At 49.1% G+C, this 23,673-nt stretch overlaps 5 annotated features.

The window, feature by feature from the left end:
- Positions 816-1,436: an enhancer, noted in NCBI's record as "H3K4me1 hESC enhancer chr10:131764672-131765292 (GRCh37/hg19 assembly coordinates)". NCBI's record gives its function as "activates a minimal SCP1, AML or CMV promoter by ChIP-STARR-seq in naive H9 embryonic stem cells {active_cell/tissue: H9 hESC(naive)}" and the evidence as "EXISTENCE:reporter gene assay evidence [ECO:0000049][PMID:30033119]".
- Positions 2,679-3,298: an enhancer, noted in NCBI's record as "H3K27ac-H3K4me1 hESC enhancer chr10:131766535-131767154 (GRCh37/hg19 assembly coordinates)". NCBI's record gives its function as "activates a minimal SCP1, AML or CMV promoter by ChIP-STARR-seq in primed H9 embryonic stem cells {active_cell/tissue: H9 hESC(primed)}" and the evidence as "EXISTENCE:reporter gene assay evidence [ECO:0000049][PMID:30033119]".
- Positions 5,161-5,780: an enhancer, noted in NCBI's record as "NANOG-H3K4me1 hESC enhancer chr10:131769017-131769636 (GRCh37/hg19 assembly coordinates)". NCBI's record gives its function as "activates a minimal SCP1, AML or CMV promoter by ChIP-STARR-seq in naive H9 embryonic stem cells {active_cell/tissue: H9 hESC(naive)}" and the evidence as "EXISTENCE:reporter gene assay evidence [ECO:0000049][PMID:30033119]".
- Positions 6,421-7,306: an enhancer, noted in NCBI's record as "H3K27ac-H3K4me1 hESC enhancer chr10:131770277-131771162 (GRCh37/hg19 assembly coordinates)". NCBI's record gives its function as "activates a minimal SCP1, AML or CMV promoter by ChIP-STARR-seq in naive H9 embryonic stem cells {active_cell/tissue: H9 hESC(naive)}" and the evidence as "EXISTENCE:reporter gene assay evidence [ECO:0000049][PMID:30033119]".
- Positions 7,307-8,190: an enhancer, noted in NCBI's record as "H3K27ac-H3K4me1 hESC enhancer chr10:131771163-131772046 (GRCh37/hg19 assembly coordinates)". NCBI's record gives its function as "activates a minimal SCP1, AML or CMV promoter by ChIP-STARR-seq in naive H9 embryonic stem cells {active_cell/tissue: H9 hESC(naive)}" and the evidence as "EXISTENCE:reporter gene assay evidence [ECO:0000049][PMID:30033119]".

Raw genomic sequence — 23,673 nt, forward strand, 5'->3', positions numbered from 1 at the left:
CAGCGTGTGTACGTTAATATTTTAATTAATCGGGAAAGTCGAAGTCCGATTCACGTTGTCTGGGGACCCCCACGCCTCTTGGAAGGAGTGAGAAAAAAGATGTGTTGGAAAGAGATCTATTTTGCTGGTGTTGGGGGTTAATGACTATTGCCAAAGATAAGTGAATTATCAAAGCTGTTGCGCCAGTCCCATCTCAAAATCCATTACGGTGCCGGCCGTCTAATTAAATACGTAAGTATAATAAAATCATATTTTATGACTATTTGAGGGTAATGAGATTAGTCTTTAGAAGCGATAGCCACATATTAAAGATGCCACTGTCTATAGAATGTTAATAACCTTAAATCAAAGTGTATGGAAACTGTTCATGATAAATTAAAAGAAAATTTCTGTATTCCTAATAAGCCCAGCGCTTTCCACTCTCGGCAGACACTGGTGTAGGAGGGAACACTTTCTTCGTGGAGAAACAACGCAAAATAAAGTTGGCCATCGAGGGAGGGTGGGGTTGAGAAACGCTTTGTCTCTGCGTGTTTAGCTGCTTCGGGGGCTCACGCAGGGCAAGCGGCCAGGCAAGCGTTATTGTCAGAATATGCAAAGTGCCTTTTCGGGAAAGATGAAGTTGGAAATAGGAAACAATGCTTCCTTTATAGCACACTTCCTAAAATGTCCAGCCTGTGCTAGAGGTGCCCCTTCCTTGCGCTAACGAAAGTATCATGCTTAAAATCATTTACAGTATCTTTAATTCAGATTACACGCGCCAAGGCGATTTAAATCTGATTACCAAATTAGAAGGTTTAAAAACAAATCCTTCTAAATCTGATACTGTTGACTAAAGAGGAAAAAAAAGTTCTATAAGCCCATCACATAAGGTAACGATCCTGCCCCAGAAAGAAAAGGGGTTTTAAACCTTTTTGACAACAAATGCAGCTGCCCCACTATTTTGGACGATATTAAGCGAAAATGAATGCAAATCTGTGTTCAGCAGCCATCTGGCCCGAAATGGGGGAATCAGCTGCTCTCACAACAGGCTCGGAGGCTGAATCCATTTCAGCTCATTTTCTAGATCATCTGGTCCCGCACCCAAAGCGTGGAAAATACGGTCTTTATCATTCACCAACTTTATCTTTTTTGTCACTCCGCTGCTGGCTCCGAGCTGTGGGCACAAGGACTCGCCTACCGGGCAGGGTCTCCACCTCGGCCTGCTGCGGAGCGGCCTGGGAGGGTACCCCCTGGTCCCCCACCCCATCCCACCCTCAGATTTTCGACTTGATGGGGCAGGAGCAGCAGCAGAGGGGAGCAAGGGACACCGCAGCCAGGCCAGGGATGGGGAAGGGGGCTGCAGGCCAAATCCCAAGTGTCCTGAGTAACGCTGGGAGCGCGTCCCGGCGCTTGGCCACCTCCCGAGGGAGCCCTGCCCCCACCCCTCGCCCTTTCTGGGGAAGGCGGGGCGCTGGGTACCCAGGAGAAGGGAGACGAGGAGAAACAGGCTGCTACTTTGGAAGTTTTGCAGGCCCACGGCGGCCGCAGGTCTAACCTCGGTGCACAGAGCGCTCCCAGGGGCCAGACCGGCGTCCGGGGGCCGGACTGGGCGGAGCCTGACCTTTGCCGGGGACCCCGCGGGCCGCGACGGCTGCGGCGACCGCTCAGGGCCCCGCGCCCAACGCGATTTGCACGGGTGGCCCTCGAGCTGCCGCCGCCGCCTCCTCCTCGGAGGGTGGGAAGTATTCCTTTTGTGCGGATTTACGGGGAGAGGCTTCAATGAGCCCCCTCACATTTGCATTTAAATAGCGGCATCAAGCGCTTCGCGTGCCACACACCAGTGGGCTCCCAGATGTCAAGCCGGAGTCAGTCAGATGGCCAGTGCCCAGCTGTCCTCCCCATGTCGTGCCGGAGCAGGCAGTGACCTTAAAGAGACAGCGCCCGCCGCCCCTGGCGCCCGGCTCTGGGAGCGGCGTGCCGGGCGCAGGGCAGAAGGCCCTGGCGGCGCTTGGGCCACTGATCCGTGGCACCATCAAAAAACCTGGCTGAAGTCTAGCGGGGGCTCTAACCTCCCAGGAGCCGCACCTAGGCTCACCCTGGCCTCCTTGCCCAGCCACTCAGTGCCCGAGCCACCGCGCGTGCCAGCGTCCTCCGCCGGTACCCACTACCCACCCGTGAAGGGGGCTGTTCGGCGCGCGTAGAGAGGAAACTTTCCCCTTACCCCTCCTCAGTCTCAGATCCTCCACTGGTGCCTGGTGCAAGGCCCAGAGACGGGGACCTGGGCTGGTACCGGACTCCAAGCCACCCCCACCCAGAAACTTCGGCCAAGTTGGAATCCCAGGGCGCGAGGCCTGCCGCGGTGTCTGCACGGGCCCAGGGCCCAGCGCCCAGGGCACCGGGCGAATGCCCCCTTCTTGATCGAGGCTTAGCCCAGGGCACCCGCCTACCTCCCTAACATCCTTCCAAAGAGTAATAAACTGCATTTCCGGCGTTGAGAAGCCTGGGCCGAGAGTTCCTGGAGGCCAAGTCCCCTGGAGTATCAGGGGGTGCGCGGGCTCGACCCGACGCCGCACCATCGGAGGGCCCATGGCCACAGGCCCAAGCTGCCTGGCCATGTCACTTGGAGCCTTCGGGAAAGGGTGAAAGCCAATGCACGAAAAGCCGCCAGTTCGTGTGCCCGCCGCCAGTGCTGAGCTGCAGGCGCGGCCCGCCCCAACGTCCTCCGCGCCCGGGGGTCACGCTCAGACCGTGCCGGCCTCCGGGCCTCTAGCCCTGCTCAAGCCTGGGGTCAGAATCGGGCGCCAAGCACAGGCAGGGGCCGGGGAAAGAACAGGAAAAGAGAGAGCCAAACTGACCCTGGGCCCCAGTGGGAAGGAGGTCAGAGGGGCCAGGAGAGACGCACCTAGAAAATCCCGGGAACTGCGGGATAGGGTGGAAACAGCACGCACTGGCAAAGCCTGCCCACCACGGGTGGTGACGCGGCCTCTGAGAGCGCTCCAAGTTCGTCTTGCGCCACGGGGTCACGCTCGTCCGTGGGCCGGGGAAAACCGAGAAGTAAGGGCCATCCCAACCTCAGTCGCGCACAAAGGGAGCCCGGCCAGGTTTGGGTGGGTTACTCAGGACCAGAGAGGGCGCCTTCGCCCTCTCGGCGCGGAGATGCTAGCCGCGGGGGCCTCAGGCGGCATCTGGCGGCAGAGCCCAAGACAGGCCGCGCACCCCGCCTGCCCTCTGAGGCAAGTTACTGGGCAACTCCCCCTGGCACATGGGGCAAACCAACGGGCGCCTCCTCCCTGCGCTGGAGGAAGGATGCCCTGTTGGGTTCACGGGTAAAAAGCAAAAACTGAAGGGTCCCAGACCCCTGTTCTCTGCATTGCCTCCTCCCTCTAATATTTATTCTGTACGGCTAAGATTGCTGAAGCCCGACCCCCAGTACCAGGGAAGGCTCAGCTTCCAAGTGAGAACGTGCAGGCGCCTCCTGCCAAGGCGGCCAAGTTTGACAAACAGCGCCTCCTGGGGTGGGGAGAGTGGAGTGCCGCTGCGCAGCCGGGAGCCGGGAGCAGAACAGCCTGGGCTCCCACCCACCCCGGGGCAGGTGTCCGCCCCGGGTCCTGCCGGCCCCAGCAGCTGGGCCCCGGCTCCTGCGCGACCGGAGCACCTAGTCCTAGCTGACGCCGTGACCCCAGGGGCGCGCGGAAACCGCCACACGCCGCCTAGTCCTAATTGCCGCCCACCTGCGTGAGCAAGGGTCGGACCAAGCCCGGCACTGGGCAGAAGGCCTAGGTACCAAGCGCCATGCGAACGTCCTTGCTGGAGAGAAACCTGCGCTCTAAGTGCCCGGCCCCGCAGCGGGGCGACGGACCTGACCTGGAACTCGCTCAACCTTCTCCCTGGAAAACCATGGGCGCTCCAAGCGGGGCGAAAACGCCGGGGTGTGCCTCGGCTCCTGCAGCGTGCTAAATTATAAGGGAAACAGTTAATTATTGTTTCCTTTTCCTAACTTTTCTCGGATTCCTTCGGTCACTTTGGCCGACCCCACGAGTCAGCTCTGGGGGCTCTTCTACTTGAGCGAAACCCCCAAATCAAACACTGGCGAACTTGGGCTTCTCCCAACGCACCCGGCAACCCGAAAGGTTGCCTGTCTGTAAAGATACTCCGGAGGAGCAGCCGAGCTGGAAAAGACAGCTGGTGCGTGGCGACGTCCCTCGGACCCTAAAAGGCCCATCGGTTTAGCAACGAGCTGGGATTTCTCGAGCTGCGTTCGGCGGCGCCCGGAAAATCAGTCCTGCTGGATGCGCCCGAGCGGGCGCGGGAGACGCCGATTCCGCGCCGGCCCGCCCCCGCCAGTTTACAAAGCAAACTTTCCCCAGAGAAGTTCCGAGATCGAACCACGCGCAAAGTGCGCCAATCAACACCTAAACAGACCCAAACTGTACAAACACGGATCGATCAGATAATTTCAAATATTATAATTGGCTTTAATTAAACACACTGCGTTCTAATTAACTCTGAAATTTTAGCATGCTTTGGGACACTGGTGTCTGATTTGATATTGTCAGTCCAGATGTCCTAATAAAATTCAATCCTCCACTCAAGACTTCAATATTCACCAAGAACAAAATGCAAATTAAATGTAAAACCTAAAGTATTGCCAAAGGTATAATCAAGAAAGGTGTCTCAAAACTTCTCACTTTTTATTACGCAGTAGTTTAAAAATGCAGATTACATCCTAACAAGACCTCTCCAGCATACCATAAATCTTAACTCTTTCATGGACGGGTGTGGAGTGCGATGCCACTGGCTTGAAGGGAAAGGAGGGGGCGGCCAGACCTCATAACAAAATTAAATACCCTCTTCTGGAAGCTAACCGCGCACAAAAGTTTGCCAATAAAATTCTAGTTTGAAACCGCGGTTTGCCAACACGAGTAAAGGAAGTTGGGGTGGTGGAGAGCTACAGTGGGCACGGACGGAAAGGGTGGCCACGGTCACCGATGTACTAATGTCCTCCTCCTCGGCTACCCGATCTCACTCCTTCACAGCACCTTAACAGAGTGTATACACCCGTTCTGGTGCGCAAAAGTGGGGCGATGGGTGCCGGCGGCCGGGCCGGGGAGTCCGTCCGGGTAATTAACTCAGCTCCGGCGACTGCGACGATGAGGCCGGGAGGGAAGGAAGAGCATACCGCTCTTGGACAGAAATGTGTCAAGCTCTCCTCCCTTCCAGCCTGCATAAACCCTTTCGCGCACATTCGCGCGACTTCTAAGGGATCCAAGCCAGCGGACTGGGTCCAGCAGCGCGCGGCGGCGGGACGCACCCCTCCTCTCCCCCCAGGAAGGCGGGTGCACGCCGGGGCTGGAAGGGGGAGGGTGCACCTCTGGCTACAAATTCGGCCGCGAAGAGATTCTTTACCAACTCTAAGGGTTTGCTGAATGTACAGACCAGAATGAGTCCCGTTAAAAGGAAGCTATTCCCACATTAAACATGTGTGTTTTCCATACTAATGGAGTCACTTAAAGCTGTTGCTAATTTAACTTTTTAAAAAGGCCACACTGTGGAAATTTGCATTTTCTTTAGGACATTGAAATGAAGAGAAAACTGCTGGGCGGCAAGGCGGCCCAGGGCATAGCTAGGGGCCATGTAGAAATAAAAACAGATAAAGAAAAGAAGAAAGAAAGAAACCGGCTTCTCTTCTAGACTATTAATAAGCAATTTGTCCCGCTGAAATTTACATTGCAAAGCGGAGGGCGCCGGCAGCCGTGGCGGCGGGCCTGGCGCGGGCTCCGGGGGTGCGTCGGCGCGGGGGCGGGGGGGGTCCTCCGGCCATCCGGGCCGCCCTCGGGGGCGATCCACCGGCGGCTTTGAACTCGGTGTCCTTGCCGCCGTGCCGCCGACCCTCGCCCGCACACGCGCGCATCTGCACGCCAGGGCCCCGCCTGGGCTGCGCACCCGGAGGCCGGGACTGGCGCTGCGCTAGCGCCACCCGGGCTGAGCTGCAGCCTTTTGTGGGGGGGGCGGGAATCCCTCCGCTCCCAGTGACGCCTTGGACTCGCGGACCCCCATCCGCCCCAAACGACTGCCCAGGCCTTAAATTAAAAATGGCAACAATAAGCTTAATTTTTTTTTCCTCCTTAGCCGCGCCGCCCCGGTCCAAGTCTACCGCAAGCGTGGAGCCCCGAGCGCCGCGCCCCCGCCGGCTCTCCCGCCCGCGCGCCGCCCGACGGAGCCGCGGATCCCGGGCCTAGCGTGGGGCCAGGGCGCCATCTACGGGCGCCGCGCGGCTCCGGGCGGCCGCCGCCTCCTCCCTCTCAGCGTCCAGAGCCCGCTCCTCCTCCCGCCGCCGCCGCCCTCGCCCCGCGCCGCCTGCCACTTATCACAATTACCCGACGCTCCCGTGCCATTTTGCTTATGAAACACTGATTGCTAGTTATGCGGACTTTTAAGCACTATATTAAAACTTTCGAAATGAAGGCGCTCTCCTGCCTGCGATTTTTAGGTACAAGATTAAAAGATATGAAATGTAAAGATAATGCAATTTGATTTGTTAGTCTAACTCTGCGATTTGAGACTTGATGTCCCCAAAGACCAGGCGAGCTTTTCCCCTTTATTTATTTTTATTAAAACATCAATCTACGCTGGAGCTGGGTGAACTCGGTTTCACCTGGAGAACATAAAATTCTCCATACCAGAGAAATAAGCACCTTTCATAAATCAATGGTATTCCTGACACATGGATCAATTTTTGGTTGTTAATCCGAAAGGAGGAGTTTTAATTGCTTCCTGCGTTGTCGTCCAGGCATCTAGGCGCTTCGACCTTCCCCATCCCTCTCTCCAAGGGTCTGGCGTTTGTACTGGGGGAAGACGGAGAGTGAAAAACGCGGGGTCCTTCAGCTAAATCCTCGGAACCCCGGATCTTCGCCCGTGCCGGTACGCGCCTCCCCCGCGCCGAGAATCCCTGGCACGCGATCGCCTCCCCGCAGGCCCGCCGGGAAGGCCGCGAGCAGAGGCCAACGGAGGCCTCCCAGGCAGTGCTCGCCAGGAACCAAGACGCTGCCAGGGCGCGGCGCAAAAGTTCACTGCGAGGCCAGGCCTGGGCGCAGCTCATGGTCAGGGGCTCCTGCCTCCACAGTCCCACCCCGCGCCTCCGCCGCAGCCCCGCCCGCGCTCCCGTAGGCGAGAGGAGCGCACCCGGCTCCGGGGCCCCGGCAACCCGGCCCCCAGCGTTCAGTGTCCGGCCCGCCACGCGCGAAGTTCAACTTTGCTGGCGCCGCGGCCGCCTGGGGGCCGCGGGCTGGGGCGGGGAGCCCCCGACGGGATCGAGAGCGCGCTTACCTGTGCCGCTCACTCGACGGACATCGCGGGCGCCCCGGCCGCGAGGTGTCGGCGGCGCCGGCTGCGGGCCGGGAGGTGGGCGGCCCCGCGCCTTCCCACGTTCCCACCTCCCGCCCTCCCGGGAGAGCCCACGGGCCCGGCCGCGAGCACGCCAGTGCGCACGCGCCACACTGCCTTCCACCGCGGGCGGCGGGCTAGGGCCGAGCGGGGGCGCGTGGAGGTGCCCGTAGGCGGCCCAGCGGCCCGCCTGCCACCGTGCCCCGGGGCCGCAGCTGCGCCCAGCGCTAGCCACCTGGAGGAGAGGCCTCCTGGGCCACGCGCGGGGCTCCTCCGCGGGGAGGCCCCCTTGCAAGGACCTGAGCCCCTCTCTTTCGTCGGGGGCCCGAGGGTATTCGTGCGCCTCCTTGGCCAAAAGAGTGCGCCAGGCCTGGAGTGGGGCACCGCTGCTGTGGACACCACTTCGCAGGGCATCTGGAAACGGGTCCCAGGCCCTGGGCGGCTTGAAGCCGTCTGTGTGGATGAGCGCACACTCCCGTGGGCAGGAGATGGCTGGGGTTCTCCCGGTCCTTTTTGGTAAAGTGGATGAGAGGACATCTTCCTGGATACGGATAACTTAATGCAAAGTACTCTACTGGGCCCCGTGACGGCTAAAATGAAATGGGAAGAGGCAAGAGATCGCCCACGAAAACAGAGAAAGCCCGGGGTTCTCCAATAAAGCCACGCTATGGAAGAAAAAACAAAAACAAAAACAAAAAAACGCCTGGATGGCTCCTAGATGAGCTTTGCGTTTAGAGCAATCTCAGTGAAGGAGGGCTTCGGCCGCCCTTCAGAGGCCAGGCAAGCCTGACCACTCCACTCCCATTTTTGATGTCACCCAGCAAATGACCAGAGGTGTAACTTTTCTCATAAGTATCTGGAGCTGCTGCTCTGGAAAAGAAAAGGGGTCAGGCGGGGGTGTGACCTGCATCCCCAACCTGATGGCCGCCCTGGGCTTGGGAGGGGCTGATTAGCCCAGACCCTGGCTCCGGGCCCTGGGCCCCTACCCAGGGCTGCTGCGCTTTTTCTAATTTGCCTCTTCCGGGAGAACCTGGGACTCCTGGAAGATCCTACTAATTCCTATCCATCTGCTTCTTCCAAACCTAAGTGTGATGTAGATACCTGAATAAAGACAACTTTCTTATTGCCGAGATTTGTCTGAAACAGAAAGCACTTTTGTGGGAATGTGGGCCTCACCCTCCTGTATCCATCGCTTTTTCTCGCCTGTTTCTTGCTCCCAGGCTTGTTTCGTGCTCTTCACTTTAAGCTTTTATAGTGAACGTTGAGTGTGCCGAATCATGAAATCTTACTGGAAGGGAAAGTTATTTTTGGCCATTTATTTAGCAAAAGGCACTCTAGAGAATGCAACCCAGAAATGTACTTTATTATGATCACTTAATGTAAGAAAAGAACTAAATAACGAATATTTCCCCTTTGTCATCTTCACTTGGGAATCATTTTTAATGTGAGCCAGCATGAAACCATTTAAGCAATATGCAATATTTTAAGATATAAAATTACCCATGTTTTTAATAGCAACTAACATGTATTGAATGTTATGTGTCAGGCCCAAGCTCAGAAAAGTTAAGGGGCATGTTCTTGTCACACTGCTAGGAAGCTGGGACTCCAACCCCATTGTGGGACTTCAGAGCTCTGGTCATGTGGTTCTGTCACTTGTGGCTTCAGAGGCAAAGGGAAGGGTTTGGGGAGGGCCACCATTCAGTGCCACACACAAAGACTCACAAGTGGCCTTTGCTCAGTCTGTTTGACCAGTTGAGGTAAAATGCTGTGGACGAGGCAAGAAAACAGTTCAATCCCTCTAATAACGACTTGGTGACTCCCTTCCTTCTCCAGCCCAACCACCGCCCCCCCCCACCAACCAAACACACACACCACCCTGCTTTCTGCTCCTCTCCTTGCCCCCTCTCTCCAAGGCTGCAGTCTCAGGATCTCTTTCCTCTAAACAGGCCCCTGGGCACACCGCGTTGCCCACTCAGTTCTCTTCTGGAGCCGCTCCTAGAGAATGTGGCCCAAGCCTTACCCTAGGTGGGTCCTCAAGACATAATTTTGCGGGAATGAGGAATGAATGGAGAGCCATTGGCCAGGTAGACAATGACTCCTGATCTCAGGGGTCTGGAGAGGAATGGCATTGGTCACATGGGTGCATCGCAGGGAACCTCGGCCTATTGACAGGAGACCCAAGGCCTTGTCTTCACAGACAAGAAACAGCACAGAGGTAGCTGTGAATGTAACGAGAAATCACGGCTTTCTCTGCCCCTCACTTACTCCTTCCACGCAGTGGAGACATCCCCCTCCCCACCTTCTTTCCCCATTGGATATTCACTTAGGCTGAGTCAGGTCCTTGGAGCCCAAGTCCTGAGTAAGGCCCTGCCCTCATGGAGCTTACTGTTTGGCATAAGAACAAATCCCCCTTACAGGTGAGACAGGTGAAAGGAAGAGGAAGCAGCTTTGGTGACGTTTGCATTGGGAGAGGCTTAGACAGATCTGACAGGTTAAGCTCAATTCTCTCAGGCATATAAAAATCGATGTCCATTTCATCTGTCGCTGTCCACCTATGTATGCTTTGTCACTGGCCACTGTACCTAGAAATGTACATTCACAAACATCAATAATCAAATCTGTTTCAATATTTACTTTTATCTCTTTTTTTTCATAGCAAGCAAGGTGTCTTGTAGCCACCACTAACCAGCTCGCATATTCAGTACGAGCCCAGGTGGCGACTCAGAGCCCAGCAACAGTGCACACCAATCCAAGGGGGCAGAGGCCTGGAGGACCCCTGCACAGAAACTTGCCAAGGGTGAAATGCAGTCACCTGCCCCAGAAGTCAGAACGTAATCATGGGTACTTTCAGAGGACAGATACTGAAACTGTCATTATCTGTTCTACTTGCAGGCGGCATGGTGCCTCTCGTTCTGATGTTAAACGTGTCCACCGTGGATCTTCCCTGCAGGAATGGAACACCTGGAGGTCAGGACCCACCTGCTCTCTTCATCTGGTTTACTCAGTTACAGAGCCAGGCACAATGTGGGGGCTCCGTAAAGATGTGTGCAACTGATAAATATGCAATTCAGTTCTTAAAACTTTGTATTATGGAAAATTGCAAACACACACAAAAGTTGATAGATCGCAAATCTCCATGTACCCCTCCTCCACCTTCAACCATTCTCAACATTTTGCTGTCTTATTCCTTCCACCATTCTTTCCTCATCATCTGTTTTCTTAGAAACTACATTTGTATATTTACAGGATCAAAAGCTGTAGATGAAAATGCACATTCCTCGAGTCCAGCATTCGGCCCCAAACTCTCTTTTCCACCTTAACTCGCACATTCCACACTAGTCCAGGCAGGTCCTGCCGGCCCCGTGACCAGCTTCCTGCTGCCTGCATGAGTGCTGGGCTCTCTTCCCTTGGCTTCTGGAAACTCTAGCCTTGGTCCTTAGTCCAGGGAAGCCCCTTTCCATTTTGACTGGACTTCCTGACACCATAATCACTGGCCAAAGGCCTGCCCCGGGTAGACAGGACATCCCAGGCACTTCCTGTGCTAGCTGCCTGTGGAAATGTGGTTCCAGCTGTGCAGAGCTAACCCTGGGAAGCAAAAGCACACATCAAAGCTGGCGGAACAGCCCAGCATGGGACAGGGGCCCGAGGAATCTGCACAGCACAACCGTAACCCCAAGTTCCCCAAGGTGGGACCGCCCATCCAAAAAGTGTGTGCTATAATGGTGGACAGGACAGGACATAAACATGCCTTTTTCTAAGAATAAAATTGTGTGCAACTGATATGCGTTGTTTGTAACTAAAAATAATTCAAGAGAGATATCTCACACTGAAGGAAGCTTCATATTGCTTCTGTGATTGAGAATACTTTGCAGAATCTACTTGGTAAAGACACTGAGATTCTCAAGATAGGAAACAAACAGGTTATCTAGTATTAATTATGCAGTGACTAGGTGGAGATGCTAGTGTCCCAGCCCTCCTCCCTGAGGCACTAAGAATGAAGAGAGAGAACAGGTCACCACCATGACCAAACGAAAGCGACTTCGGTTCTTCTGGCGAGGAGGTTGATTTTTCAGAGAAAGGTGTCAGGGTAGACAGGAACTCTACTAGAACAGTAGTCACCTCCCCCATCAGCTGTCCTGGATCCCCAACACCGACTCCTGCGGCTCTGAGGCCAATGTAAATGTGGTTGTGAGGTGAGAGGTCACATATCAGGTGACAGAGAGTTGAGAAAGAATGGGGCAGCTGCCCTCCCAGGAACTTCGCAAGCCCAAGCTGCAGAACTTACTCACCAGCCATGGAGTCCTATCCATAGAAGACAGGATCCATGTGAGCACAGCAACCAGAAACCCTGTGGTTCTGTTAAAAATATTTCTGATGCATTCATTCAATCTGTTTTTGTATATCCATTAAGAGTATTCCCTCAACTTGAAATTGTATATATTTGTACCATGAATTGTACTACTCAGGAGGAAGTCATTTTTATAAAATGTCAATAATATATTCCTTGCATTTAATTTTGAAATGATCAGAAGAGATGCATAATGACTTCTCTCCAGCCCTGTGGGCCACATCTCTGATCCAGTGCTCCAGGTGAGAGGTGGCACAGATGCTGACCTCTAGAAGCCCACGTAGTTTTGGCCATTGCTCAGCCAGTGGTGATGGGACAGCACCACTGTTGGACAGAATTCAAAAGATGCCCCCAAGATTCCTGTCCCCTCTTATTTGATCAAACACTAATAGAGGTTCTGCTGGGAAGGGACTTTATAGCTGGAATTAAAGTTAATAATCAACTGACCTTAAAATAGGGAGATTATCCTGGATTATTTGGGTGGGCCCAGTGTACTTTCACGAGCCCTTGAAAGCAGCAAGGGAACAGAAGAGTCAGCAAGGTGTACGAGAAAAGGAAGTCAGAGAGATCCAAGTGTGACAGCCACTCAGACTGCCGTGGCTGGAGCGGACCACAGGGAGAGCATGAGACTGACTTCAGGCACCCTCTAGGAGCCAAGATCAGTCCCAGCCGACAGTGGACAAGGACCTCGGTCCTACAACCACGAGTACCTGAATTTAGCCAGCAATTTGAATGAGCTTGCATAAGGACCCCAAGCTCCAGATGAGACACCGTCCAGGCTGACAGCATGATTTCAGCCTTGCTAGACCCTGAATAGGGCACCAGCCACACTTGCTGCACTTCCGATCTGCAGAACTGTGGGAGCGTAAGTGAGTGTTGCTTCAAGCTGTGCAGTGAGTGGTAATTTGTTACAGAAAAAACAGACAATGAATACATCCACCTTTGATGCCGGCCAGTGGATGAGCATCACTTACATTAGTCAGTTGTCATCTTGACATCACTTATGTCAGTCAGTTGTCGTCATGGTAATGCTGTGAAAAGACCTTCCTCAAATGCACTGGCTTAAACAAGAGCCATGCTCTCTCACCCATGCCCATGCAAGTTGGCCTCTGCTGATCTTGGTGGGCTGGTTGAGTCCAGACAGGCATGGCTCTGTGGAGGTCTGCTCCATGTCTCACATATTCTGAGACCAGCTGGCTACCCAGGGTAGGTGCCTCTCACTGCAATGGCAATAGTCCAGGGGATAAGACCAACCGTGCAAGTATACTCAAGACTCCACTCACATCCCATTGACCCAAGAAGGCAGGTGGCCAAGCTAAAGTCCATGACAAGGGGCATAGATATAGGAGGGTGAGTGGCTGAGCCAGTAGCTGGCAGAAGAGTCTGAGAAGGCTGCATGGGCCTCCAAACCCCTTGGTGCTGGAGCCCTGAGAAAGAGAGGCATGTTCTCCTGAGTCCTGAGCTCTTCTGAGAAGTCCCCCAACCACACTCTTCTGAACCATGCAAACCCCTCGCAGCACCCTCAGAGCCAGTCTGGCCTTCAGAGGGGCCAGTCACACCAGATGTGGCTTGATCTCCAGAGGTGGTGAAGGGCAGTGGCCAGGAAGAAGGAGCTCATGGCAATTCATCCCTCATCCATCCCTCCTGCTGGATAGAGAGCAGCTCTGGACAGGCCCTGTGTGTCCTGTTTGTATTTACTCCCTCCCACTCCCAGCACTTGACAGTCTTCCATTCACATACCTTCAATCCAGCATGCCTGCTTGCCATAAATGTCCCAGGGAGAGTTTGGTGTGATTGGCTCACATGACCATCCGGGAACTAAGTGTGGCGGCCTCAGGAGGATGGGCTTCTTTGATAGGCCGGCATCTGTCCTGGACTGGCTGGTGAGGAGTGATCCCCAGAGGAAAGGAAGTGGGGCAATGAGATGCACCCACCTCAGCAACTCACCGAGGGGCTTAGAAAAGCTGTTCTCCCTCCGCGTGTCTTTTCTTATTTGTAAAATGGAAGGTTTCACCCCTCAGTGAGTCATGTGGTTCCTATCAATGCTAAAATTTCATTATTTAATTATGGCTATAGCAGCCACTACAGGGGTTTCTTTAGTTGTATTTGTGGGACAGATGCTCTCCTTGCATCCTAATGTGCCCGGGTCCCTCCACGGAGCGTGAGTGGAAGTTCCACGGAGCGTGAGTGGAAGTTCCATGTGTCCCCTCTGGGTTGGGCTCTGAGACAAGGCATGCCTTCTCCACCCACTCTTTCTCTTTCCCTTAGCTGGAAGCTGAGGTCTCAAAAGCCCAATGCCCAGGGGACATCAGAGTCCCAGATGGAATAAACTGGGACCCCTTGGTCACTACGTGGAGGAATGTTGCCCAATGAGCAGACTGTCAGTGGACTGTTATGTGAGTGAGCAGTAAACTTCTGTTTCTAGCCACTGAAATTTTGCAGATTATTTGTTTATAACAACTCATGAGATGCTCATGGTGACCCGGTTTAAGTGGCCTAAAGAAGACCAGGTGCGGTGGCTCACGCCTGTAATCCCAACACTTTGGGAGGCCGAGGCAGGTGGATCACCTGAGGTCAGGAGTTACAGATCAGCCTGGCCAACACGGTGTAACCCCATCTTTACTAAAAGTACAAAAATCATCTGGGTGTGGTGGCGAGTGCCTGTAGTCCCAGCTCCTCGGGAGGCTGAGGCAGGAGAATTGGCTTGAACCCAGGAGGTAGAGGTTGCAGTGAGCCAAGATTGCACCACTGGACTCCAGCTTGGGTAACAGAGTGAGACAGGAAGAAAAAGAAAAAAAGAAGGAAAGAAAGAAAGAGGAAGGAAGGAAGGAGAGGAGGGGAGGGGAGGGGAGGAGAGGAGAGGAGAGGAGAGGAGAGGAGAGGAGAGGAGAGGAGAGGAGAGGAGAGGAAGGAAGGAAGGAAGGAAGGAAAGAGAGGAGAGGAGAGGAGAGGCCCTTGGCCCTTAGGCCAGAAAATTCTGCTTTGAAAACTTGAATGAGCTCTCTGTGCAAAGGATGGGACCCTCAAAGTAACATTTTGGATGCCCCAGTCCATCCTGCATAAGGAAAAGACTCCCTGAGGAACCTGCTATGCACTGTCTTGCTGGAGTGACAGCACAAAGAGCAGCAGCTTATTTTAAAAAGTAGAAAATTTTGTTTTATTTTAATTATAAATAGTACCTGTTAATAATAAGCACTTTGGGAATTACAAAAAAGAATGGAGATAAAAACCAAGTCACTGTTAACTTTTTAGTGTATTCCCATCCAGCCTTTTAAAAAAGACATTTGTAGATAAATGCTTTTTTTTTTTTTATAATTCGGTGTGTGTTGTATGTACCCACAATTTTTAAAAAGTAACAATAAGAGACTTCCACTTCCAGAAAGATGGAGTGGATGTTCTTTTCCCTATTCTAACTGCTAAGTACAGTTAAAAGCCCTGGACATTATGTGTGAAACAAACATGAGAAGACAGTAAAAGTTGGAAGGAGAAGGAAGACAAGCCAGGGAACGTGAAACCCAGTGAACAACACAGTGGCGATTTTCTTGGCTTTTCTTTTTGCCTCATACATCCCAGACAGAGAGATGAAGAAGTCAGCAACCCAGAAATGCCAAGGGCATAAATTCAAAAGCAAAACAAAACAAAAAATAAAAAACAAAAAACCCTGCTATCTTTGGCCAGAGGACTGGAAGAGAAGCTGTTTAGTAAGATAGAAAACTTTTAGATAATAATGGGTCTACTCCAGCCAAACACCACTGAAAAACTGTGGTCCCACCCCATCCATACCAACAAGGACAAACTGGGGAAATTAGACTTTCACCCTTGAGAGGCTGTAAGGCAGCATCCCAGGCCCCTACAGGGTGGTATCCAGGAAGGTCTAGTGGACAGTCAGAACTTTTACTCCCACCCAGCAATAATGAGGCCATGCCCTACCCCATGGTGTCAGCCGAGGGCTTGTGGGGAGCAGTAAGGAAACTCTCCTACCACTCCCAGTCAGGCAGATATGAGTGGAGGCTTGGTGGGCAGCCAGACCTCCCACACCCACCCAGCAATAAAGAGGACTCTTCCTTATTGGATGTCAATGGAGGTGAGTGGTGAGCCAGGACTGCTACCCCTACCAGGTAGTAACAAGATAATACCTTCCCTTCCTCTGCCAGAACAGCATGAGGGAATGCCAACTCAAACAGAAAGTTGGAATAAGATGCAGAGTCTTATAACATAATAACAAAATGTCCAGATTTCAATTAAAAAAAATCACTTGTCATACCAAGACCCAGAAATATCATAAATGGAATAAAAAAAGACAACCAATAGATGCCAACGCTAAGATGATGAGATGTTTGAATTGTCTGGCAGAGATTTGAAAGCATTCATCATAGGAATGCTTCAATATGCAATTGAAACAAATGAAGAAATAGAAAGTATCAGGAAAGAAATAGAAGATTCAGCAAAGAAATAGAGGATCCAAAGGAAGAACCAAATGTAAATTTTAGAGATAAAAAAATACTATAACTGAAATTAAAAACTCAATGTATGGGCTCAACAGCAGAATAGAGAAGCCAGAGGAAAGAATCAGTGAATTTGAAAAGAGAACAATAAAAATTACCCAATCTAGGCTGGGCGCGGTGGCTCATGCCTATAATCCCAGCACTTTGGGAGGCCGAGGTGGGTGGATCACGAGGTCAGGAGTTTGAGACCAGCCTGACCAACAGGTGAAACTCTGTCTCTACTAAAAATACAAAAATTAGCCAGTTGTGGTGGCACGCACCTATAATCCCAGCTACGCAGGAGGCTGAGGCAGGAGAATCGCTTGAACCCACGAGGCGGAGGTTGCAGTGAGCCGAGATCATGTCACTGCACTCCAGCCTGGGCGTCAGAGTGAGACTCAGTCTCAAAATAAATAAATAAATAACCCAATCTAAAATAGAAAGAAAATAGGTTTTTAAAAATGAATGGAGCCCCAGGAACGTGTGAAATTATAATAAAAGATTCAGTAATCATGTTATTGAAGTCCCAAGAAGAGAAGAATGAGGCCAGAGTTGAAAAAGTACTCAGAGAAATAATGGCTGAAAAATTCCAAAATTTGGCAAAAGACATTAATCTATAGATTCAAGAAGTTAGACAAACCCCAAACCAAATAAATTCAAATAAATCCACACTAAGGCACATCACAATTAGACCTCTGAAAACTAAAGACAAAGGGAAGCATCATGAAAGCAGTGAGAGTGTGAAGACACCTTACCTACAGGAAAAAGGCAATTTTAAAGGCAGTGGATTTCTCATCAGAAACCATAGAAGCCAGAAGGATCTGACAGAAAATAGTTCAAGTGTTGGAAAAAAGAAACTGTTAACCCATAACCCTGTATCCTGAAAAAATGTTCTGCAAAAATATACAGAAAATAAATACATTTTCAGATGGACAACTAAGATAAGTTGATTCTTTAACACCCATCTCAAAAGAATGGCTAAAGGAAGTTCCCTAAACAAGGAAAAAAGAAAAGAAGGAACTTTAGAACAAATAGACTGATTCATGGAGAAACAAACAGTTACCTCAGTGAAATTCTAGAAAGGGTTTCAAGTAACCCACAAGAAGATGGAATAAATAAAAGAGATCAATAAAAACCAGAGAAAATAAACTGAGAACAAAAAATAAAATGGCAGACTGAAGCCCAGACATATTAAAAACTGCATTAAATGTAAATGGTCTAAATACATCAATAAAAGAGAGAGACTAGCAGAGTGGATTAAGACTCAACTATATCCTGTCTATAAGATACTCACTTTAAATATAATGATATAGGCAGATTGAAAGTAAAAGGATGAAAAAAGATATATAGACTTTAATCAAAATAAAGCAAGATTGGAGGAGAGGTTAGGAAAATGGCTGATAGGAGGCAGGACTAAATTGCAGTTTCCACTTACATGGACACAGCAGCATGTGGAGACTTACATAGTAAACGTTTGCTTCAAGAACTACCACAGGAACATACTAGGAAAGCGGAGACAATCCACAGACTCTTTGAAGGAAGCAGATTGCTCCTGCAGGCCCTGGGAGACAGCCCAAAAACTGTGAGTGCCCAAAATGTGAAAGGGGGATTGTCTGCCCCCGAACACACATTCTCACTGGGGAACCTGAAGGTCCAGATCACGAGAGAAGGATTTTACCTTACCTGGAGCTGAGACAATTTTAGAGAGCTGAGTGAAATACAGGGGTAGAAGAAGCAGTGGGAGGAGACCGGTGGGCTCTCTCAGTCCCAAGGGAAGCTGTTTCTGACTTTATCTTGCAGACGTCCTTGGGGAGGGCTGCCAGAGGAACTGGGAAAAGATCACAGGGAGAAGAAAACCTCCAGCTGAACTTTGTAACAATTTTAACCCTGTGAAGTTTTCTGGACAGAACTTGGGGGAGCGGGTGAATCCAGAGTGCAGGTATAGCCCAGAAGCTGCAGCAGGCAGGGAGGGGTGAAACCTAAAAGCCCTGCTTGCTTTCACAGCCCTGAAAGGTAGCCTGGGGCAAGTTCTCACCCCTGCTCACCTGCTGCATGGAAATAAACTCGGTGCTGTTGGGGGCAGGGGCACTGTGGGAGTGAGACCAGCCTTTTGGGCTGTGTGGGAGCTGGGTGAGGCCTGTAACTGCCAGCTTTCCTCCACTTCCCTGGTGAGCTGCATGACACAGTAGAGGCAGCCATAATACCCCTGAGAACATATCTCCATTGGCCTGAGAACCATAACCCGTCTTCCACAGCAGCTGCAGCAAGCCCTGCCCAAGGAGACCCTGAGCTCAGACATGCCTAATCCTGCCCCCACCTGATGGTTTTTCTCTACCCATTCTGGTAGCTAAAGACAAATGACATATTCTCTTGGGAGCTCTAGGGCCCCACCCACAACCCGATCATCCCTATAATACCACAGCTGACACTGTCTTGAAAGCACCACCTCCTGGCAGGAGACCAGCCAGCACAAAACTAGTGCAATTAAAAAAACTACAACTCAGCAAGGCGTGGTGACTCACACCTGTAATCCCAGCACTTTGGGAGGCCGAGGCGGGTGGATCATGAGGTCAGGAGTTTGAAACTAGCCTGGTCAATATGGTGAAACCCCATCTCTACTAAAAATACAAAAATCCTTAGGGCATGGTGGCAGACGCCTGTAATCCCAGCTACTCGGGAGGCTGAGGCAGGAGAATCCTTTGAACCCAGGAGGTGGAGATTGCAGTGGGCTGAGATTGTGCCATTGCACTCCAGCCTGGGTGACCAGGCAAGATGCCACTCAAAAAAAAAAAAAAAAAAAGACAAACAAAAAAACGACAACTCAGTACACTCACAGAGTCCATTTCACTCCCCTGCCACCTCCACTGGAGCAGGTGCTGCTATCTATGGCTGAGAGAGCTGAAGACAGTTCACATCACACAACTGTGCAGACAAGCCCAGAGCCCAATAGCTCTGCTAGGTGGCAAGGTCCAGAAAAGAAATAATAATCACAACTGTTCAGCTCTCAGGAAGCCACATCCCTAGGAAAACGGAGAGAGCACTACATCAAGGGAGCACCCCATGGGACAAAAGAATCTCAACAGCAGCCCATGAGCTCCAAATCTTCCTTCTGACATAGTCTACCCAAATGAGAAGGAACCACAAAAACAATTCTGGTAATATGACAAAACAAGGTTCTTTAACATCCCCAAAATATCACACTAGTTCACCAGCTAGTAGAAAATAAAGGAAATAAAGGACACACTTAGAGAAATGCAAAATGTACTAAAAAGTCTCAGCAATAGAATCAAACAAGCAGAAAAAAGAACTTCAGGCTGGGCATAGCGGCTCAGGCCTGTAATCCCAACACTTTGGGATGCCAAGGCAGGTGGATCACTTGAGATCAGGAGTTCAGACCAGCCTGGCCAACATGGCGAAACCTCATCTCTATTAAAAATACAAAATTTAGCCAGGCATGATGGCACATGCCTGTAATTCCAGCTAATCAGGAGGCTGAAGTGGGAGAATCGCTTGAACCCAGTGGGGCAGATGCTGCAGTGAGCCGAGATTGCGCCATGGCACTCCAGTCTGATGACAAAGCAAGACTCTTTCTCAAAAAACAACAACAAAAAAAAAAACTTCAGAGCTCAAAGACAAGGTTTTCAAATTAACCCAATGTAACAAAGACAAAGAAAAAAAATGTTTTAATGAACAAAGCCTCTGAGAAGTTTGGGATTATGTTAAATGACCAAACCTAAGAATAATTGGTGTTCCTGAGGAAGAAGAGAAATCTAAAAGTTTGGAAAACATATTTGAGAGACTCATTGAGGAAACCTTCCCTGGCCTTGCTGGAGATCTAGACATCCACATGCTCAAATAATACCTGGGAAATTTATCACGAAAAGATCGTCACCTAGGCACATAGTTATCAGGTTATCTAAAGTCAAGACAATGAAAGAATCTTAAGAGCTGTGAGGCAAAAGCACCAGGTAACCTATGAAAGAAAACCTATCAGATTAAAAGCAGACTTCTCAGCAGAAACTCTATAAGCTAGATGGGATTGGGGCTCTATCTTCAGCCTCCTTAATCAAAACAATTATCAGCCAAGAATTTTGTATCTAGTGAAACTAAGCTTCATAAATGAGGGAAAGATTTTTCAGACAAACAAATACTGAGAGAATTCAACACTACCAAGCCAGCACTACAAGAACTGCTAAAAGGAGCTCTAAATCTTGAAACAAATCCTTGAAATACAGCAAAATAAAACCTCTTTGAGGCTCAAATCTCACAGGACCTATAAAATAAAAACTTTTTTTTTTTTTTTTGAGACAGAGTCTCGCTCTGTCACCCAGTCTGGAGTGCAGTGGTGCAATCTTGGCTCACCACAGCCTCCACCCCCTGGGTTCAAGCAATTCTTCTGCCTCAGCCTCCCAAGTAGCTGGGACTACAGGTGCATGCCACCATGCCTGGCTAATTTCTTTTTGTATTTTAGTAGAAATGGGGTTTCACCGTGTTGCCCAGGTTGGTCTTGAACTCCTGAGCTCAGGCAATCCACCCACCTCAGCCTCCCAAAGTGCTAGGATTACAGGCATGAGCCACTGCACCTGGCCAAACAGTTTTCTTAAAAAAAGGTATTCAGGCAACAAATACCATGATGAATAGAATACTATCTCACATCTCAATACTAACATTGAATGTAAATGGCCTAAATGCACTTAAAAGATACGGAATGGCAGAATGGATAAGAATTCACCAACCAAGTATCTGCTGTCTTCAAGAGACTCACCTAACACATAAGAACTCACATAAACTTCAGGTAAAGGGGTGGAAAAAGATATTCCATGCAAATGGACACTGAAAGTGAGTAGGAGTAGCTATTCTTATATCAGACAAAACAAACTTGAAAGCAACAGCAGTTAAAAAAGACAAAGAGAGACATTATATAATGATAAAAGGACTTGTCCAACAGGAAAATATTACAATCCTAAATATATATGCACCTAATACTGGAGGTCCCAAATTTATAAAACAATTACAACTAGACCTAAGAAATGAGATAGACAGCAACACAATAATATTGAGGAACTTCAGTACTCCACTGATAGCACTAGACAGGTCATGAAGACAGAAAGTCAACAAAGAAACAATAGATTTAAACTACGTCCTAGAACAAATAGACTTAACAGATCTTTAAGATTTACAGGACATTCTACCCAACAACTGCAGAATATACATTCTATTCATAAAACGATACAAAAGATAAATGAAACAAGAAGCTGGTTCTTTGACAATATAAATAAAATGGATAGGCCATTAGTGATATTACTCAAGAAAAGAAGAGAGAAGATCCAAATAAGCTCAATTAGAAATGAAATGGGAGATATTAATACTACAACCGATACCACTAGAAACACAAAAGATCATTCAAGGCTACTTGAACACCTTTACACACATAAACTAGAAAACTTGGAGGAGATGTATAAATTCCTGAAAATATACAACCCTCCAAGGTTAAACCAGAAAGAAAAAGAAACTCTGAACAGACCAATAATAAGCAGTGAGATTGAAATAGTAATTTAAAAATTGCCCACAAAAAAAGTCCAGGACTAAATGGATTCACAGCTGCATTCTATCAGACATTCAAAGAATAATTGGTACCTATCCTATTGACACTATTCCACAAGATAGAGAAAGAAGGAATCCTCCCTAAATCATTCTATGAAGCCAGTATCACCCTAATACCAAAACCAGGAAAGGACATAACAAAGGAAGAAAACTACAGACCAATATCCGTGATGAATATAGATGCAAAAATCCTTAACAAAATACTAGCTAACCAAATACAACAGTATATAAAAAAAAAAAAAAAGTCCACCATGATCAAGTGGGTTTCATACCAGGGATGCAGGGATGGCCTAACATACACAAGTCAATAAAGGTGATACAGCACACATAAACAAAATTAACAAAAATCACACAACCATCTCAATAGATGCAGAAAAAGCATTTGACAAAATCCAGCATCGCTTTATGATTAAAACCCTCAGCAAAATTGGCATAGAAGCGACATACCTTAATGTAATGAAAGCTATCTATGACAAACCCACAGCCAAAATAATACTGAATGGGAAAAAGTTGAAAGCATTCCCTCCGAGAACTGGAAAAAGACAAGGATGCCCACTCTCCCCACTTCTATTCAACACAGTGCTGGAAGTCCTAGCCAGAGCAATCAGACCAGAGAAAGAAATAAAGGGCATCCAAATTGGTAAAGTCACTGTTTGTGGATGATATGATCATATACCTAGAAAACCCTAAAGACTACTCCAAAAAGCTCCTGCAACTAATAAATGATTTCAGCAAAGCTTCAGGATATAAAATTAATGCACACAAATCAGTAACTCTGTTATACACCAACAGCGACCAAGCTGAGAATCAAATCAAGAACTCGACCCCTTTTACAATAGCTGCAAAAATAATAAAATACTTAGGAATACACCTAACCAAGGAGGTGAAAGACCTCTACAAGAAAAACTACAAAACACTGCTGAAAGAAATCATGGATGACACAAACAAATGGAAACACATCCCATGTTCATGGATGGGTAGAATCAATATTGTGAAAATGACCATACAGCCAAAAGCAATCTATAGATTCAATACAATTACCATCAAAATACCACCATCATTCTTCACAGAACTACACGGAACCAAAAAAGAGCCCACATACCCAAAGCAAGACTAAGCAAAAAGAACAAATCCAGAGGCATCACATTACCTGACCTCAAACTATACTATAAGGCCATAGTCACCAAAACAGCATGGTACTGGTATAAAAATAGTCACATAGACCAGTGGAACAGAATAGAGAACCCAGAAATAAAGCCAAGTATTTACAGCTAATCTTCAACAAAGCAAACAAAAACAAAAGTGGGGAATGGACACTCTATTCAACAAATGGTGCTGGGATAATTGGCAAGTCACATGTAGAAGAATGAAACTGAATCCTCATCTCTCACCTTATACAAAAATCAGCTCAAGATGGATCAAAGACTTAAATCTAAGTTCTGAAACCATAAAAATTCTAGAAAATAACATCAGAAAAACCCTTCTAGACATTGACTTGGGCAAAGACTTCCTGACCAAGAATCCAAAAGCAGGTGCAACAAAAACAAACATAAGAGATGGTATTTAATTAAAAGATAAAGCTTCTGCACAGAAAAAAAAATCAGCAGAGTAAACAGACAACCCACAGAGTGGGAGAAAATCTTCACAATCTATACATCCAACAAATAACTAATATCCAAAATCTTCAAGAAACTCAAACAAATTAGCAAGAAAAACAAACAGTCCCATCAAAAAGTGGGCTAAATACATGAATAGACAATTTTCAAAAGAAGATATACAAATGGCCAACAAGCATATGAAAAAATGCTCAACATCACTAATGATCAGGGAAATGCAAATCAAAACCACAATGTGATACCACCTTACTCCTGCAAG

This window comes from Homo sapiens, chromosome 10, assembly GCF_000001405.40.
Source record: "Homo sapiens chromosome 10, GRCh38.p14 Primary Assembly".
Lineage (NCBI taxonomy): Eukaryota > Metazoa > Chordata > Mammalia > Primates > Hominidae > Homo > Homo sapiens.